The following is a 19,187-nucleotide window of genomic DNA, read 5'->3' as shown; positions in this document are numbered from 1 at the left end:
TCCTTTCTTTTGTTTTTGTCTTCAGGGCTGGCTACATACTCTGTTGGGAAGAAGGCTCAAAAATGAATCCTCTCAAGCAGACCCGCTTTGGTTTCCACCCCTCTATTCTGAGAACCCAAGCTCAACCCATGTGTTCTGCCTTCAGGTAGAAAATGTCAGAATCATAGGGAAGACTAAGCTGAAAAAAGAATTTGGAGTTCCAAAGGAATTCTGTGCCACCTGCCGTCCGGCAATTCCCTTTGCCAGGTAATGGCATGACAGTAAAGACGCACTCTGTTCTGAATAAGCAGAGAACCGGCTTGGCCTAGGACTTACGTTGAGGTGGGTAATGTTCGAAAAGACCCATTTGCTAGGGCATCTCAGGGAAGGCACAGAAGCCTTTGCAGGCGAGGCTGCAGAGAGAAGAAAACGCACGGGAGACAGTCCTGATTCCAAGGGGTTACAATTGGTTGGGGAGGCAAGGCAGCCACAAAGAAAGCACAGCATGTTTGGGCCAGGTGGGTGCTTCCTTAGGACAGCACTGCCTGTTTGGGAAACAGTTGTAGAAACAGATGGGACAATCCTTGTCCATCGAGATGGGGTCAGAGTGACTGCACGAAAATATGGCTACCCCGAGTTACCATGGCTACCAACACTTGCCCTCCTTCCATGCCTACCAGGCAGGGTGGAGGAGCTTGTTCTTTCTGCAGCCTGACCCAGGAGAGGAGGTAAAGCAGAGGGCTCCCAGAGGCCGCCCTTGTAGGTCCTAGCGCAGCAGGGTGACGCTGGGCCAGGAGGGCCCCGGGAGTGGGGTGGGGGAGGGCCACTGGGTGGAGGTGCCCTTCAGGGCTGCATCTCGTGGCGCCGGCTCCAGTTTCACTTCGGCTCCTGACCCTCAATTCCCGTCTGCGGCCCGGGGACCTCGGCCTTCTCCCCAGCCACCTTGCTGGCTGGCCCTGTCTTCCCAAGGTCAAGTTAAAGAACCAAGGTGTGTAAGGTCATGTCTTCCCAGTCAGGGGGCCGCCATATCTTGGTATCCAATGGACAACCTGCCTGCCGCTCACTCTCTAAAAGCCAATGATGAGGGAGCTATGTGCTAAGCCCCGCCTCCCCACCCCATGAATGTGCACAGCACCACCTCGTGTCCCAGTAGCGCAGCTTTGGGGAGTTTGGAAACACTCCTGGTTTGGGATTCACTCAGCAAATATTTAATGTGTGTGTGCTGTGGCCAGGTAAAATGCCAGGTACTATCTTCCTCTACATGGCAGGGACAGACATGTGTTCCTCAAGCTCACTGGGGATAGCACCACCTTTCTAAAGTTCCTCTCATCTGTTGCCCGGCCTCCAAACCCGGTGGTCCTTTATTAATTCAGCTGTGGCATGGGCGTTCATACTCTCAGCTTCCTTTACTGCGTTTCCTACTGTTTCTGGCTTCAAGTTGTTGAAGTCAAAATAAAAAAGTAGAGACTGAGCTCTAAATTTAACCGTTTATTTGGGAAGAAAGGATTGCCACTTGGGACACACATGCACACCGTAAGAACAAAGAGAAGGCTGGAGGTTTTACCGAATGTTACCCATTGCTCTTTGAGAAAGTTCATTGGCACTAATAAGGTTCTAGGGAGCTGGCAAGTTTCAACTGGTGGGCAATGGCATTGGGCAAAATTAGTCCTAGAGTTGCAGCAAGTTATCTCAGCAGGGTAGATAAAACTGGTCTCAGGTTACAACAGTTGGTTTCAGCAGTTAGACATGCGGAGAATTACATTCTTGGAGCAATGCTATCTTTCCTGAGTGCTTTTCCCCCTGGCTTTTTGACTTTGTTTTAGTTGGGTATGACAAAAATGACCCAATTCATTTGATCAACTTTCGCAAACATTTCTGCAACTAGCGGCATCCCTGATGTTGGTTTTATTTTGTTCTTCTTGAAAGTGTTACCAGATGGTGCTGTGCAGCTCCAGGCTCTTAGTGTCCTGACCGAAGAATTGGACGAGATACACACAGATAGCAAAGCAGCAAAAGTGTATGACGCATAGTATTACACTCCCAGAGAGGGGAGAGTGGACTGACCTCTGCGAAATGAGATCAACGTCAATTTGGTGTACTTTGAATTCTTTTATATATTTTTTCTCTTCTGTGGCCAAGACTGCCTGATGTCTAGCCAGTGTCTGCCTTTTGATGGACAGGTGGGCTGCTTAGTTATTTAATACTATGGCCCGTGTGCGCTTGTGACTTCTTGCGAGTCACCTCCATCCCATAATTTTAAGTACGTGCATAATATGCAGTCCATATGCATGAACCTTAAGTAGCTAATTACCATACGGGAACATTTTAAGGATATGTTTTCTGTCTAACGTGCATGCTCATCTCTGAGGAGCTGCCCCTGACAGGTTTGGTCCAGATCTAGGCGGCCATGTGGGCTCCTTACTCACTTTTTTAAAATCTCACTTTTGTTTTGGCTGCTCAGCCTCTGCTTCATATCTCACTTCTTGCTCACTCGCCCCTTCACCTTGCTTCTGCTCTCATGCTCTCACTCATTCTTCCTGTATCCAGTCTCTGGTTCCCTCTCTACCATCTCCTGCCTCAAAAGTGCTGCTCAGCATATAATTTCTCTTTGTAAGTTGTGGTTCTTGATTTTGGGAAATGAGTTTCCATCTTGCTGAACTTCTTAACTAGAGAATACTGTTGGGATGTGTCTACATCTATGTGACACTACTGGGATCCCTTGAATCCTATTTAGAGTCTAAAAGAGGGACATTGTTACTTAAAGGCGGTGGCCATTTAGCTGTCCCTCTTAGATTTGGTTCATATAATTTCTGATTTTCATGTCAGATTATAATCTGTAAACTCCTACTCAGGTCACTGCACCACTTTGATGGAATTTCCATTCCCTTTGTCCTCAAGATTTGTCTAAAGATATTTGGCTTTGACAGAATTTTGGGTTCTTCAGTTTTCTTTTTAATTATAAAATATACATACAAATGAACATTAAGCATATGTAGTTGTGTGAGTAATTATAAAACAAACTTAATGTATCACCAAATCAAAGAATAGCTCATTGCCCCAGAAGCAACCCCAGTCCCCTAATAACAACCCCTCCCTTTCTCCCTCTCTCCAGAAATGAGCCATATAATACCTCTTGTGCAAATTACTTTTTTGCTTTTCTCTAGATTTTTTTCCTTTTTTGTAGGCATTCCTGAAGGATATAAGTTGGTTTCGTCTGTTTTGAACTTTCTATAAACAGGGTCTTACCAAAGATAATTTTTTTGTCTTATTTATTTTTCTTAATTTTATGTAGTTGTAGGTTGTTCATTAGTGTGTAATTTTCTACTCTAGGAATTTGCAACAATGGGTGTATTCATTCTAATGATGATGGATATTAGTCTTGTTTCTAGTTTGGGGATATTATGAACAATGTATTTATAATCCTTTCTGCACACATGACCTTGGTAATTCGTGTATCTGGGTGTATACCTTGAAATGCAATGGTGGAGTCATAAGTCATATATTTCAACTTTGCTAGTTCATGCCTGTTTTTCAAAGTGGTTGTACCAGTTTACATTTCTGCCAGCAGTGTACAAGAGTTCCCATTGCTCCACATCCTAACCAACACTTGGTATTGCCAGACTTTAATTTTTGTGGAATATTGTGGATTTAGTTCATGTTATCTTATTGAGGTTTTAATTTGACTACCTGGTTTATTGATGAGGTTGAACACATTTCCACTATTTATTGGCCATTTGGGCTTCCTCTTATGTACAGTGTCAGATCTTTGGCAATTTTTTCTGTTGGGTTGTCCGCCTTAATGATTTTTAAGAATTCTTCATGTGAAATTGCTGACACTTGACCATTTTTGACTTACAAAAAATGGCAGTTTCATATGATTCAATTTAACACCTTCTGGAATTGGTCCTTTGTTATTTATGTGTTGACTAATATTTTATCAGATTATGTGGCTTATCTTTTCATTTCCTTCCTTCGTTTTTTGAGAATCAGAAAGTTTTAACATTAGTGGATTTGGACTTATCAGTCCTTTTCTTTATGGCTGGTGCTTTTTATGTCTTGTTTGAGAAATCCTTGTCTTTGAGGCTAAAGGTGACCAGATTGTGCTGGGGGACTGGGGCTGCATTCTCAGGGCATTCTACTTTGGGCCCTGGGTCACATTGCCTCTGCTGGGGAGGAGGCAGGTTTCTCTGTGCCCCTAGCCTTGACTGGGTGGGGGAGGGAGGAGAGGCCACTCCTGGGCTCTTTGTAGGGTAGCACTCATGTTTTCAAGAAGATCCTTTCCTGTAGATTGTTTCCACACTGTTCTTTCAAGTGCAGAGGGTCTTCCTAATGAATCGGCAGCCCTGCATCTCACTGGGCCAGGGTTGGGGCAGGAGTAGGCCAGCATCACGGTGGATGTTCAGCTAGGGTGGGCTGTGACGGGGGTTGGCTCCAGCTCAGAACTGGAAATCCTGTTTGCTGAATTGTGTGTCCTAGCCGATGAGGTGGGACAAGGAGAAACTGGCTGAAGACAGTGAAACAGTAGGAAAAACCCTGCCTGCCCTGTAACTCTGGGGCCTGGGGGATGTAATGGTGTGATTCTGACTAGTTGGCTGGAGCAGAGCAGGTAGCCTGGGGCGCGCCAGACGAAGACTGGAAAATGTCATGGCTTTTTGGCCCTCACTCCTCAACGTCACTGTGGGTTGGGGGAGGCAGGGGACTGTCCAACCTGTTCACAGTTCCCTTTCCAGTGCTGACAGTGCCTGCCACATGAGAGATATTAATACACATTTGTTCAATTAATGAATTAATATTTTTCACATAATTTCATGAAAGAGTTAATGTTTTCTTTTCTATTTCTTTCCCTGGGGAAAACTTTTTGTAGCCCCTAGGCGGCAGAATTAATCACATCTAGCTGGCTTGTGATACGGAACCAGGCTTTTGAATTTAAAATTAATCTTGTTCTAATTCTGTTTTTGAACTTGTTAATCATTAAGGTCCTAAGAAACATTGGCAGAGTAAAACTGAAATAAAGACCTGGTAAATTACTTTCTCAGGCTAAAGAAGGTATGAATTTTTCTTCTAAGTGCTTCTAAATCAGTCCTTTAATGGTTAGGTTGGATGTAAATTCTTACCATTCTTCAGTCAGATAAATGAATGTCAACCCAGTTTTTCCTTCTGCTGGAAAATGGTCTTTTACTCTCAGAATCTGGCAACCTCCTTTGTGTCTCGTGTCTGGAGGGTCAGAGTCTGGGAAAGCAGCTCCCCTCCACCCCACTTCTCAGGCCTTCTCCCAGCTTCCCAGCTTCTCTCCCTGCAGCCACCCTGCCCCCTCCCAAACTGCCTCGGAAAGTCCCATGTCTCGGGTTTTCTCTTCTGTAGGAAATCAGATGTCGTGCCACCGCAACCTTTCATTCAAAATAAAAATTCAAAAGCAATTTGTGTATTTGAAAACACATCTAAACCACAGGCTTGAAGTTCCTGTTTTGATGGGGAAAATGAATATTCCCATCTGGAGATAACTTTGGGACGTTGAGATAGAGACAGGCAAATTCATCTCAAACTCATTATTATTTTAGATTCTTATCATTATCAATTATTATTATAGCAAAACTCATCATTTTTTCTGTGTACAATTTGTGAATTTTAACATATGTACAGATTCATGTAACCAACACCATGATCAGGATAAAGAACAGTATTGTCACCCCACAAATCTTCCTTGGGGGGTCCCTTTTTCAGTCACATGCTCTTCCCAGCCCTAACCACAGGGAACCATTGAGTTGTTTTCCATCACTATAATTTTTCCATTTTGAGAGTATCATATCAGTGGAATCATGCAGTACGTAACCTTTGGGGACTGGCCTCTTTACCTCAGCATAATGATGTTAAGATTATAATCTGTAAACTCCTACTCAGGTCATTGCACCACTTTGATGGAATTTCCATTCCCTTTGTCCTCAAGATTTGTCTAAAGATATTTGACTTTGACAGAATTTTGGGTTCTTCAGTTTTCTTTTTAATTATAAAATATACATACAAATGAACATTAAGCATATATAGTTGTGTGAATAATTATAAAACAAACTTAATGTATCACCAAATCAAGGAATAGCTCATTGCCCCAGAAACACCCCCAACCCCCACATCATTCATGTGATTGTGTGTATCAATAGTTTATTCCTTTTATTGCTAGTAGTATTCCAGTGTATGGATGTTCCTACAGTTTATCCATTCACCCATGCAAGGACATTTGTGTTGCTTCCAGTTTTTTGGTAATTATAAATGGAGCTGCTATAAACATTCACATACAGATTTTTGTGTAAACATGAGCTTTAATTTTTTAGGGTAAATATCATGGAGTGTGATCACTGAGTCATAAGATGTAGGGTTAAATTTGGAAGAAGCTGCCAAAGCATTTTCTAGAGTGACTGTACCATTTTGCATTCTGGCCAACATCTGGTATTGTCTGTGTTTTCTATTTGACCTGCTCTAATTTGTGTGTAGTGGCATCTGATCATGGTTTTAATTTGTATTTACTTAATGCCTAGTGGTGTTGATCATTTTTTCATGTAGTTATTTGTCATCCGAGTATCTTCTTCGGGGAAGTGTCTAAGTCTTGCTCATTTCTAAAACTTGGGTTTCTTGCTTTCTGTTGAGTTTTGAGAGTTCTTTATATATTCTGGTTAAGTTCTTAACCAGATATATGGTTTGCAAATTTTTTTTCCTTGCATATAGTTTGTCTTTTAATAAAGTATTTTGTAGACCAACAATTATTAATTTTGATGAAGTCAAATTTATCACTTTTTTTGTTTTGTGAACTGTATTTTAGTGTCATGTCTGAGAACTTTTTGCCTAACCTCAGGTCAGGAAGATATTTTTCCTGTGTTTTCTTCTACAAGTTTTATGGATTCATTTTCTACATTTAGGTCTATTATGCCTTCTATGTTAATTTTTCTGTAAGCTGTGAGATTGACGTCAAGGTTAATTTTTTGCATATAGATGTCCAGTTGTTCCAACACCATTAGTGTTGTTGTCTTTCCTTATCAACTCCAGGACACACAATTTGGGAAACAGGTTTTCCAGCTCTGAGCTGGAGTCAACCCCTGTTCACATTAGTTGAAAAGACTATCCTTTCTCCATTGAATTGCTTTGGTACCTTTATCAAAAATCACTTGGCCATGTTTGTGTGACTATTTCAAGACTTTCTTTCTACCCTGTTCTACTGATGGATGTGTGTCTCTCTCCACCAGTACCACAATGTGTTGATTGCTGTAGCTTTATAGCAACTCCTAAAACATCCAATTTTATTCTTTGTCTTCAAGATTGTTTCAGCTGTTGTGGTTTATTTGCTTTTTCATATTCATTTCAAAATCAGCTCCCCCCTCTCTCTCTTTCTATCTCTTTCTCTATATGTTTATATGTATATTTATATATACATAAAATTTCTGCTGGGATTTTGGTTTGAATTGTGCTAAATTTATAGAAAACTTTGGGGAGAATTGACATCTTTACTATGTTTAGTCTCCCAACCCATGAACACAGTATGTATCTCATTTAGTAAGGTCTTATTTGATACCTGTCCTTAACATTTTGTCGTTTTCATCATACAGATCCAGTAATATTTTGTTAGACTTACATCTAAGTATTTAATTTTTTGGAGCAGTGGTAAATATATTTTAATGTTGCTCACCAATTGTACATTGTGAATATATTTAAGTACAGTTGTTTTTTGTGTGTTGACTTGTATCCTGTGACTTTGATAAAGTCACTTATTAGCCACAGGGCTTTGTGTGTGTGTGTGTGTGTGTGTGTGTGTGCAAATTCCTTGGGATTTTTTGTATAGGCAATTATTGTCACCTAAAATAGGGACAGTTTTTCTTTTCCCTGTTTAATCTATATGCCTTTTTCATTTCTTGCCTTACTGTACTGGCTAGGACTTCCAGTATAATATTGATTGGAAGTGGTGGGAGGACTCATTTTTTTCTTTTTCTCTATCTTAGGGACAAAGCATTCTGTTTTTCACCATTAAGTATAATGTCGACTGCAGGATTTTGGTAGATGCTGTTTATCAACTTGAGGAAGTTTCTGTCTATGTCTAGTTTACTGAGACTTTTTTAAAAAAGTCATATTTTGATGCTGAATTTTGTCAAATGATTTTTCTGCATCAATTGATACGATCATGTGGTCTTTTTTCTTTATACTTTTCATGGGGGATGGTCTGTAGTTTTTCTTATTTTTACTGTCTGATTTTGGTCTCAGGGTGATGTTGAGCCCATAAAATAAGTTTGGAAGTTCTCCTCTTCTATTTTCTGGAAGAGATTATGTAGAATTAGTGTTATTTCTTCTTTAACTATTTGGTAAAATTATCCAGTAAAACCATCCAGGCCAGGAGATTTCTTTTTCAGAAGATTTTTCGCTATAAATTCAATTTCTTTAATAGATGTAGCACCATTCATGTCAGCTAATTCATATTGGATAAGTTGGTATTTCATGGGTTTTGAGGAATGAGTTTATTTCATCTAAGTGGTTGACCTTCCACATATAGAGTTGTTCATAATATTCCCATATTATTCTTTTAGTGTATGTGGGGCTTGTAGTGATATCCCCCCATTTCATTCTGGATATTGGTAATTTGTGTAGTTTTTCTTATTTTCTTTTTTTCTCTTTTTGGACAGAGTCTCACTCTGTTGCCAGGCTGGAGTGCAGTGGTGCGATTGTGGGACTTATTGCAGCCTCAACCTCCTGGGCTCAGGTGATCCTCCCACCTCAGCCTCCAGAGTAATTGGGACTATAGGTGTGCACCACCATGTCTAGCTAATTTTTGTATTTTTTGTAGAGGTGGGGTTTTGCCACGTTACCCAGGCTGGTCTCAAACTCCTGGGCTCAAGCGATCCACCCACCTTGGTGTCTCAAAGTCCTCGGATTACAGGCAAGAGCCACCATGCCTGGCCAGTTTCTCTTATTATTATAATTTTTTGACACTCTTACTAGAGGTGTATCAATCTTTTCAACAAACCTGCATTTAGTTTCATTGATTTCCCTAATTTTTCTGTTTAATCAATTTATCTTCTTTATAATTTTCTTTCTTCTATTTTGCTTTGAGTCAATTTTGAGTTTATTTTGCTCTTTTTTTAGTTTCTTAAGCTAAGAACTTTCTTATTCTTTTCTCATACAAGTACTTAATGCTATGAATTTACCTCTAAGCACTTCTTTAGCTGTATTCTACAAATTTTGTTAGGAAAAAATTTCATTTTTGTTCTGTTCAACATATTTTCTAATTCCCTTGAGATTTCTTTGATCCATGAGTGATTTAGAAATATGTTGTTTAGTTTTCAAGTGTTTGGAGATTTTCCCATTACTTTTCATTTGTTGATTTATAGTGCATTATGGTTAAGGGATACACCGAAGATATGGTCTATCTTGGTGAATGTTCCATGAGCACTTGAAAAGAATGTGTATTCTGATATTGTTGTGGATTGTATTATAAAGGTAATGAGATCCAGTTGTTGATGATGTGGTTCGGCTCTTCTATATCCTTGCTAATTTCTGTCCACTCATTCTATCTATTACTGAGCGAGGAATGTTGTGTCTCCAGCTATAACTGTGGATTTGACAACTTCTCCTTTCAGTTCTATCCACAGTTGTTCCATGTACTTGGAAGCTCTGTTGCTAAGTGCATGCACATTTAGGATGATTCTTTCTGAGGTGAAAATTTATTAATTAGAGTTATGTCTGGCAGCGAGTGCCAGAATATGTAAACGAACCCAAGCTTTTTTCACACATCAACATCTAGGCAGGCAGCCCAGGATTAGTATGTTGTGCATAGGTCACACTCTGTCCTGTTGCTCTTCAATGAATGGATACTATTCCTAAATCACATCATGGCCCAAGATAGCTTGCTCTAGATCCACGTTTTTTTTTTTGTTTTGTTTTGTTTTGTTTTGTTTTTTAGACGGAGTTTCGCTCTTGTTGCCTAGGCTGGAGTGCAATGGTGTGATCTCGGCTCACTGCAACCTCCGCCTCCTGGGTTCAAGCGATTCTCCTCCTCAGCCTCCCGAGTAGCTGGGATTATAGGCATGAGCCACCACGCCTGGCTAATTTTGTATTTTTTTTTTTCTTTTTTTTTGAGATGGAGTCTCGCTCTGTCACCAAGGCGGGAGAGCAATGGTGCGATCTTGGCTCACTGCAAGCTCCACCTCCCGGGTTCACGCCATTCTCTTGCCTCAGCCTCCGGAGTAGCTGGGACTACAGGCGCCCGCCACCACGCCCGGATAATTTTTTTGTAATTTTTAGTAGAGACGGGGTTTCACCGTGTTAGCCAGGATGGTCTCGATCTACTGACCTCGTGATCCACCTTCCTCAGCCTCGCAAAGTGCTGTGATTACAAGTGTGAGCCACCGTGCCGGTCCGGTCCGTGTTTTAAGTGAAACTCTTCATTCAAAACAGTTTTTTTCCATCAGCTTGGCTGGTAGCTACTGTCCACAGCAGCTAACAGAGGTCTGGACAAAAGAGCAGCAGGACATCCACCTGCATGGGTCCCTTTGGGGAAGCCTTGCCATAGGGGTCAGATTTCAAGCATGGCTTCAATGACACAACCACAATGTGACAATTTAAGAGATTTTAGTACTTGCAGACCCTGGGGGCTACATGGCATGCCTGGAGGTCAGGCAGCACAGGCAGAGACAGAGAGAAAAGGATCCCTTTATTGGGTCCAGGGCATTATTTAAATAGGTTTCCCACAGGGAGTTTTAGTTGGTGGATTTAGAGCAAGCAGGCCTGAGTTCCAGGAGCATGCAGAGGTGGTCACTGCAGCATGTCTGCACGGTCGATACAGGGTGTGGGCGTCAGCAGGGCCAGTGGAACAGGGTGTATCCAGTTGACCCATAGTGAGCTGGTCACCAGGAGGCAGTTGTATAAGGCAGCTATCTGGATTGGCCACACAGGAGAACTGGGATCAAGTATAGAACTGGAAACTGTATCGAGGGTAACTGAGCTCTGTTGCTGGTATGGGAAAGTCCAGTTAATATTGAAAATTAATGCTGAGACAAATAAAATTATAAGCATTCATTATACTGCTGCTATCACACCTGCACTCCAAGCGTCAAAAGAGATCATGGGGGCAAAGGGCATCTCTCTCTTAAAGGATGTTCCCAGGACACACACACACTATTTCCTCTTAAATCTTATTGCTTAGAATTAAGTCGCCAAAGGAGGCTGGGAAATCTAGTCTCCATTCCAAGAAGCTATATGCCCAGTTTTTTTTCCGAGGGACCTATTACAAGAAATAAAGGAAGAAAGAATGAAAATTGGGGAACAACACCAGTCTCTGCCAAAGGCCACTTCATGCACCTTCTGTGGTGTCTGCATAGTCAGTCCCACTGATGATGTATATAGCTCTGGTTTTCCGCATGCCCATTCTAGAAGTTTGACCAAAGGAGATTATATTCCCATTTGGGGACTCTGTTATACTTCCTTTGAAGTAGGGAGGAGAGAGGATTTGGGGATTGTTGAGTACTTTCTGTTCTCCCCAATTTTTTTTGTTAGTAATCCACATTTATTTGAGTAATTCATACTGTAGGGTGTCCAGTTTTTAGACACTTCTATATTTATATGTATCATTTGATCCTCACATTAGCCTTGGGTTTTAGATACAATTATCCACATTTTACAAATACAAAGACTGTTGCTCAGGAGGTTTTGTAGGTAGGTCAAGGAGCTAGGAAGTGGCAGTGCTGAGATTTGTGCTCATGTCTCTGACTGCAAGCTCAGAGCTGTTACAGAGCACCATGCCAGCTTTATTCCCCCTGTCGTCCTTGGGACAGCTTTGCCAACTGGGGCCATAGTCTGGTTTAACTCCCTGCTTTGTCTAACTATTTATTTGGATTTCGGGGGACGTGGAAATTTTCTTTGACATTCTTGATTTTTTTTGTGGTGTTTGGTGAATTTTTTTTTATTACTATACTTTAAGTTCTAGGGTACATGTGCACAATGTGCAGGTTTGTTGCATAGGTATACATGTGCCATGTTGGTTTGCTGTGCCCATTAACTCGTCATTTACATTAGGTATTTCTCCTAATGCTATCCCTCCCCCAGCCCCACACCTCATGATAGGCCCTGGTGTGTGATGTTCCCTGCACTGTGTCCAAATGTTCTCATTGTTAAATTCCCACCTATGAGTGAGAACATGCGGTGTTTGGTTTTCTGTCCTTGTGATAGTTTTCTCAGAATGATGGTTTCCAGCTTCATCCATGTCCCTGCAAAGGACATGAACTCATCTGTTTTTATGGCTGCATAGTATTCCATGGTGTATATGTGCCACATTTTCTTAACCCAGTCTATCATTGATGGACATTTGGGTTGGTTCCAAGTGTTTGCTATTGTGAATAGTGCCGCAGTAAACATACGTGTGCATATGTCTTTATAGTAGCATGATTTATAATCCTTTGGGTATATACCCAGTAATGGGATCGCTGGGTCAAATGGTATTTCTAGTTCTAGATCCTTGAGGAATCACCACACTGTCTTCCACAATGGTTGAACTAGTTTACACTCCCACCAACAGTGTAAAAGTGTTTCTGTTTCTCCACACCCTCTCCAGCATCTGTTGTTTCCTGACTTTTTAATGACGACCATTCTATCTGGTGTGAGATGGTATCTCACTGTGGTTTTGATTTGCATTTCTCTGATGACCAGTGATGATGAGCATTTTTTCATGTGTCTGTTGGCTGCATAAATGTCTTCTTTTGAGAAGTGTCTGTTCATATCCTTTGCCCACTTTTTGATGGGGTTGTTTTTTTCATGTAAATTTGTTTAAGTTCTTTAAAGATTCTGGATATTAGCCTTTTGTGAGATGGGTAGATTGCAAAATTTTTCTCCCATTCTGTAGGTTGCCTGTTCACTCTGATGGTAGTTTCTTTTGCTGTGCAGAAGCTCTTTTGTTTAATTAGATCCCATTTGTCAATTTTGGCTTTTGTTGCCATTGCTTTTGGTGCTTTAGTCTTGAAGTCCTTGCCCATGCCTATGTCCTGAATGGTATTGCCTAGGTTTTCTTCTAGGGCTTTTATGGTTTTAGGTCTATCATTTAAGTCTTTAATCCATCTTGAATTAATTTTTGTATAAGGCGTAAGGAAGGGATCCAGTTTCAGCTTTCTACATATGGCTAGCCAGTTTTCCCAGCACCATTTATTAAATAGGGAATCCTTTCCCCATTTCTTGTTTTTGTCAGGTTTGTCAAGGATCAGATGGTTGTAGATGTGTGGTGTCATTTCTGAGGCCTCTGTTCTGTTCCCTTGGTCTATATCTCTGTTTTGGTACCAGTACCATGCTGTTTTGGTTGCTGTAGTCTTGTAGTATAGTTTGAAGTGAGGTAGCGTGATGCCTCCAGCTTTGTTCTTTTTGCTTAGGATTGTCTTGGTTATGTGGGCTCTTTTTTGGTTCCATATGAACTTTAAAGTAGTTTTTTCCAATTCTGTGAAGAAAATCATTGGCAGCTTGATGGGAATGGCATTGAATCTGTAAATTATCTTGGGCAGTATGGCCATTTTCACGATATTGATTCTTCCCATCCATGAGCAGGGAATGTTCTTCCATTTGTTTGTGACCTCCTTTATTTTGTTGAGCAGTGGTTTGTAGTTCTCCTTGAAGAGGTCCTTCACATCCCTTGTAAGTTGCATTCCTAGGTATTTTATTCTCTTTGTAGCAATTGTGAATGGGAGTTCACTCGTGATTTGGCTCTCTGTTTTTCTGTTATTTGTGTATAGGAATGCTTGTGATTTTTGCACACTGATTTTGTATCCTGAGACTTTGCTGAAGTTGCTTATCAGCTTAAGGAGATTTTGGGCTGAGACGTTGGGGTTTTCTAAATATACAATCATGTCATCTGCAAACAGGGATAATTTGACTTCCTCTTTTCCTAATTGAATACCCTTTATTTCTTTCTCTTGCCTGATTGCCCTGGCCAGAATTTCCAACACTATGTTGAATAGGAGTGGTGAGAGAGGGCATCCCTATCTTGTGCTAGTTTTCAGGGCAATGCTTCCAGTTTTTGCCCATTCAGTATGATATTGGCTGTGGGTTTGTCATAAATAGCTCTTATTATTTTGAGATACGTTCCATCAATACGTAGTTTATTAAGAGTCTTTAGCATGAAGGGCCGTTGAATTTTGTTGAAGGCCTTTTCTGCATCTATTGAGATAATTGTGGTTTTTTACCTTGGTTCTGTTTATGTGATGGATTATGTTTATTGATTTGCATATGTTGAACCAGCCTTGCATCCCAGGGATGAAGCTGACTTGATTGTGGTGGATAAGCTTTGTGATGTGCTGCTGGATTCAGTTTGCCAGTATTTTATTGAGGATTTTTGCATCAATGTTTATCAAGGATATTGGTCTAAAATTCTCTTTGTTTGTTGTGTCTCTGTCAGGCTTTGGTATCAGAGTGATGCTGGCCTCGTAACATGAGTTAGGGAGGATTCCCTCTTTTTCTATTGATTGGAATAGTTTCAGAAGAAATGGTACCAGCTCCTCTTTGTACCTCTGGTAGAATTCGGCTGTGAATCTGTCTGGTTGTGGACTGTTTTTGGTGGGTAGGCTATTGATTATTGCCTCAATTTCAGAGCCTGTTATTGGTCTATTCAGAGATTCAACTTCTTCCTGGTTTAATCTTGGGACAGCGTATGTGTCCAGGAATTTATCCGTTTCTTCTAGATTTTCTAGTTTATTTGCATAGAGGTATTTATAGTATTCTCTGATGGTAGTTTGTATTTCTGTGGGATCAGTGGTGATATCCCCTTTATCATTTTTTATTGCGTCTATTTGATTCTTCTCTCTTTTCTTCTTTATTAGTCTTACTAGCGGTCTATCAATTTTGTTGATCTTTTCAAAAAACCAGCTTCTGGATTCATTGATTTTTTGAAGGGTATTTTTTGTGTCTATATCTCCTTCTGTTCTGCTCTGATCTTAGTTATTTCTTGCCTTCTGCCAGCTTTTGAATTCGTTTGCTCTTGCTTCTCTGGTTCTTTTAATTGTGATGTTAGGGTGTCAATTTTAGATCTTTCTTGCTTTCTCTTGTGGGCATTTAGTGTTATAAATTTACCTCTACACACTGCTTTAAATGTGTCCCAGAGATGCTGGTACATTGTGTCTTTGTTCTCATTGGTTTCAAAGAACATCTTTATTTCTGCCTTCATTTTGTTATTTACCCAGTAGTCATTCAGGAGCAGGTTGTTCAGTTTCCATGTAGTTGTGTGGTTTTGAGGGAGTTTCTTAATCCTGAGTTCTAATTTGATTGCACTGTGGTCTGAGAGACAGTTTGCTGTGATTTCTGTTCTTTTACATTTGGTGAGGAGTGCTTTACTTCCAACTATGTGGTCAATTTCGGAATAAGTGCGATGTGGTGCTGAGAAGAATGTATATTCTGTTGATTTGGGGTGGAGGGTTCTGTAGATGTCTATTAGGTCTGCTTGGTGCAGAGCTGAGTTCAAGTCCTGGATATCCTTGTTAACCTTCTGTCTTGTTGATCTGTCTAATATTGACAGTAGGGTGTTAAAGTCTCCCATTATTATTGTGTAGGCGTCTAAGTCTCTTTGTAGGTCTCTAAGGACTTGCTTTATGAATCTGGGTGCTCCTGTATCGGGTGCATATATATTTAGGATAGTTAGCTCTTCTTGTTGAGTTGCTCCCTTTACCGTTATGTAATGGCCTTCTTTGTCTCTTTTGATCTTTGTTGGTTTAAAGTCTGTTTTGTCAGAGATTAGGATTGCAACCTCTGCTTTTTTTTTTTTTTCTTTCCCTTTGCTTGGTAGATCTTCCTTCATCTCTTTATTTTGAGCCTATGTGTGTCTCTGTATGTGAGATGGGTCTCCTGAATATAGCACACTGATGGGTCTTGACTCTTTATCCAATTTGCCAGTCTGTGTCTTTTAATTGGGGCATTAAGCTCATTTACATTTAAGGTTAATATTGTTATGTATGAATTTGATCCTGACATTATGATGTTATCTGGTTATTTTGCCAGTTAGTTGATGCAGTTTCTTCATAGCATCAATGGTCTTTACAATTTGGCATGTTTTTGCAGTGGCTGGTACTGGTTGTTCCTTTCCGTGTTTCGTGCTTTCTTCAGGAGCTCTTGTAAGGCAGGCCTGGTGGTGACAAAATCTCTCAGCATTTGCTTTTCTGTAAAGGATTTTATTTCTCCTTGACTGATAAAGCTTAGTTTGGCAAGATATGAAATTCTGGGTTGAAAATTCTTTTCTTTAAGAATGTTGAATATAGTCCCCCACTCTCTTCTGGCCTGTAGAGTTTCTGCCGAGAGATCCACTGTTAGTCTGATGGGCTTCCCTTTGTGGGTAACCTGACCTTTCTCTTTGGCTGCCCTCAACATTTTTTCCTTCATTTCAACCTTGGTGAATCTGACAATTATGTTTCTTGGGGTTGCTCTTCCCAAGGATTATCTTTGTGGTGTTCTCTGTATTTCCTGAATTTGAATGTTGGCCTGCTTTGCTAGGTTGGGGAAGTTCTCCTAGATGATATCCTGAAGAGTGTTTTCCAGTGTGGTTCCATTCTCCCTGTCACTTTCAGGTACGCCAATCAAATGTAGATTTGGTCTTTTCACATAGTCCCATATTTCTTGGAGGCTTTGTTTGTTTCCTTTTACTCTTTTCCCTCTAAACTTTTCTTCTCACTTTATTTCATTAATTTGATCTTCAATCACTGATACCCTTTCTTCCACTTGATCAAATCGGCTACTGAAGCTTGTGCATGCTTCACGTAGTTCTCGTGCCATGGTTTTCAGCTCCATTATGTCATTTAAGCTCTTCTCTACACTGTTTATTCTAGTTAGCCATTTGTCTAATCTTTTTTCAAGGTTTTTAGCTTCCTTGCGATGAATTCGAACATCCTCCTTTAGCTCAGAGAAGTTTGTTATTACTGACCTTCTGAAGCCTATCTGTCATCTCATCAAAGTCATTCTCTATCCAGCTTTGTTCCATTGCTGGCAAGGAGCTGCGATCCTTTGGAGGAGAAGAGGCGCTCTGTTATTTAGAATTTTCAGCTTTTCAGGTTTCTCTCCATTTTTGTGGTTTTATCTACCTTTGGTCTTTGATGTTGGTGACCTACAGATGGGGTTCTGGTGTGGATGTCCTTTTTCTTGATGTTGATGCTATTCCTTTCTGTTTGTTAGTTTTCCTTCTAACAGTCAGGTCCCTCAGCTGCAGGTCTGTTGGAGTTTGCTGGAGGTCCACTCCAGACCTTGTTTGCCTAGGTATCACCAGCGGAGGCTGCAGAACAGGAAATATTGCAGAACAGCAAATATTGCTGCCTGATCCTTCCTCCGGTAGCTTTGTCCCAGAGGGGCACCTGCCTGTACGAGGTGTCAGTCGGCCCCTACTGGGAGGTGTCTCCCAGTTAAGCCACACAGGGCTCAGGGACCCACTTGAGGAAGCAGTCTGTCAGTTCTCAGAGCTCAAACGCTGTGCTGGGAGAACCACTGCTCTCTTCACAGCTGTCAGACAGGGAGGTTTAAGTCTACAGAAGTTTCTGCTGCCTTTTGTTCAGCTATGCCCTGCCCCCAGAGGTGGAGTCAACAGAGAAAGCAGGCCTTGCTGAGCTGCGGTGGACTCTGCCCAGTTCAAGCTTCCCCAGCTGCTTTGTTTACCTACTCAAGCCTCAGCAATGGCGGACGTCCCTCCCCCTGCCAGGCTGCTGCCTCGCAGGTTGATCTCAGACTGCTGTGCTAGCAGTGAGCAAGGCTCTGTGGGCGTGGGACCCTCCAAGCCAGTCATGGGATATAATCTCCTGCTGTGCTGTTTGCTAAGACTGTTGGAAAAGCACAGTATTTAGGCGGGAATGTCCCATTTTTCCAGGTATAGTCTGTCATGGCTTCCCTTGGCTAGGAAAGGAAAATCCCCCAACCCCTTGCGCTTCCCTGGTGAGGCAATGCCCTGCCCTGCTTCGGCTCACCCTCTGTGGGCTGCACCCACTGTCCAACCAGTCCCAATGACATGAGGCAGGTACCTCAGTTGGAAATGCAGAAATCACCCATCTTCTGCAATGATCACATTGGGAACTGCAGACCGGAGCTGTTCCTATTTGGCTATCTTGGAACACACCAACATTCTTGATTTTTTGATCTTTTGTATGAAGTTGAGAATTGGCCAATCACATACTAAGAAAACTCTGGTGAGATTTTGATTTGGATTGCACTGAATTTATGCATCAATTTGGAGGGAGATGCCATCTTTACAAAATGGAGTCCTCTCACCTGTGGACATAGTATATGTCTTTTTTATTTAATTTAGGTATTCATTAATGTTTTTCAATAAAGTTTTATGATTTTCTTTACCAGTCTTGAGTGTCTAGATTTATTTCTAAGTATCTTATAGTTTTGTTGCTACTGTAAATTAAAAATTTTTTTTTTTCCTTAAAAAAAGCCAGCAAGGCATTTATTTTTGTCATATAGAGCTGTTCAAAGGTAAGTATCCAGGATTCGTTGGGCATATTCAATTAATGTTGTTGAGGGTCCAGCCTCCTTAGTCTTTTGTATCATTTCCAACCTCTGACTATTACCCGCTTAGCCACAAGATGGCTCCTCCAGTGCCAGGTATGGGGTCCTGATTCCTGGGAGAAGGGGAGGAAGCAGGGAGCAGAAAGTAGGGAAACCAACCAATTCTTTCTGTTCCCAGTGAATTCTCTTGACTTCTCATTGGCTGAGAGTGTGGGTCACTGCAATCCTCAGTTGCAAGGAAGGCTGGTAGTAGCAACTTAAAAACAAAACAAAACTGGATTTCTATTAGTAAGGAAGAGAGAATGACGATTGGATTGACCGTGAGCGGCCTCTTTGTCTCTGGCAATGCTCTTGAATACAGCCATACTAATTTGGTTGTTATATCTTTTTTCCCCATCCTTTTACTATCTTTCTGTATCTTTGCTTTAGTTGTGTTTTGTGTAACTAGCATATGGATGAGTTTTATAAAAATACAGTCTGTCTATCTGGTTCAAATGGACTATTTTATCCATTTATATTTATTGCAGTTACTCATAAACTTAATTTATAATCATCATCTTTTTTTTGCTTTCTATTTATTTGTCTCACTTTAAAAAATATAGTCATGCTGATCATTTAAGGGTTTAGTTGAAGGTAAATTTCTCCAGCAGAATTTGCATTTGTTTCTGACAGGTGTCAGGGGTCACTACCATCTTGAGAACCTTTAAATTATTTTCTCAGGGTTT

General features: G+C 41.0%; 1 long non-coding RNA gene across 2 annotated transcripts in view; it reads left to right on the top strand.

Moving 5' to 3' along the window:
- The window catches only part of LOC105375567 (uncharacterized), a 58,167-nt gene extending 51,511 nt beyond the window's left edge, over positions 1-6,656 (top strand). The window contains exons 4-5 of one of the 2 annotated variants that reach the window (XR_928171.3): positions 26-321; positions 1,906-6,656. This is a non-coding gene — a long non-coding RNA (uncharacterized LOC105375567). Of the gene's footprint in view, positions 1-25; positions 1,451-1,905 lie in introns of those variants that run through there. The other variant, XR_928169.3, reaches the window with a different exon arrangement.
- Positions 6,657-19,187: the final 12,531 nt, after the last annotated feature.

Source organism: Homo sapiens, chromosome 7 (assembly GCF_000001405.40).
Source record: "Homo sapiens chromosome 7, GRCh38.p14 Primary Assembly".
Taxonomy (NCBI): domain Eukaryota; kingdom Metazoa; phylum Chordata; class Mammalia; order Primates; family Hominidae; genus Homo; species Homo sapiens.
Note: the sequence above shows the minus strand (reverse complement) of the source record. Positions and strands in the feature narration are given on the sequence as shown.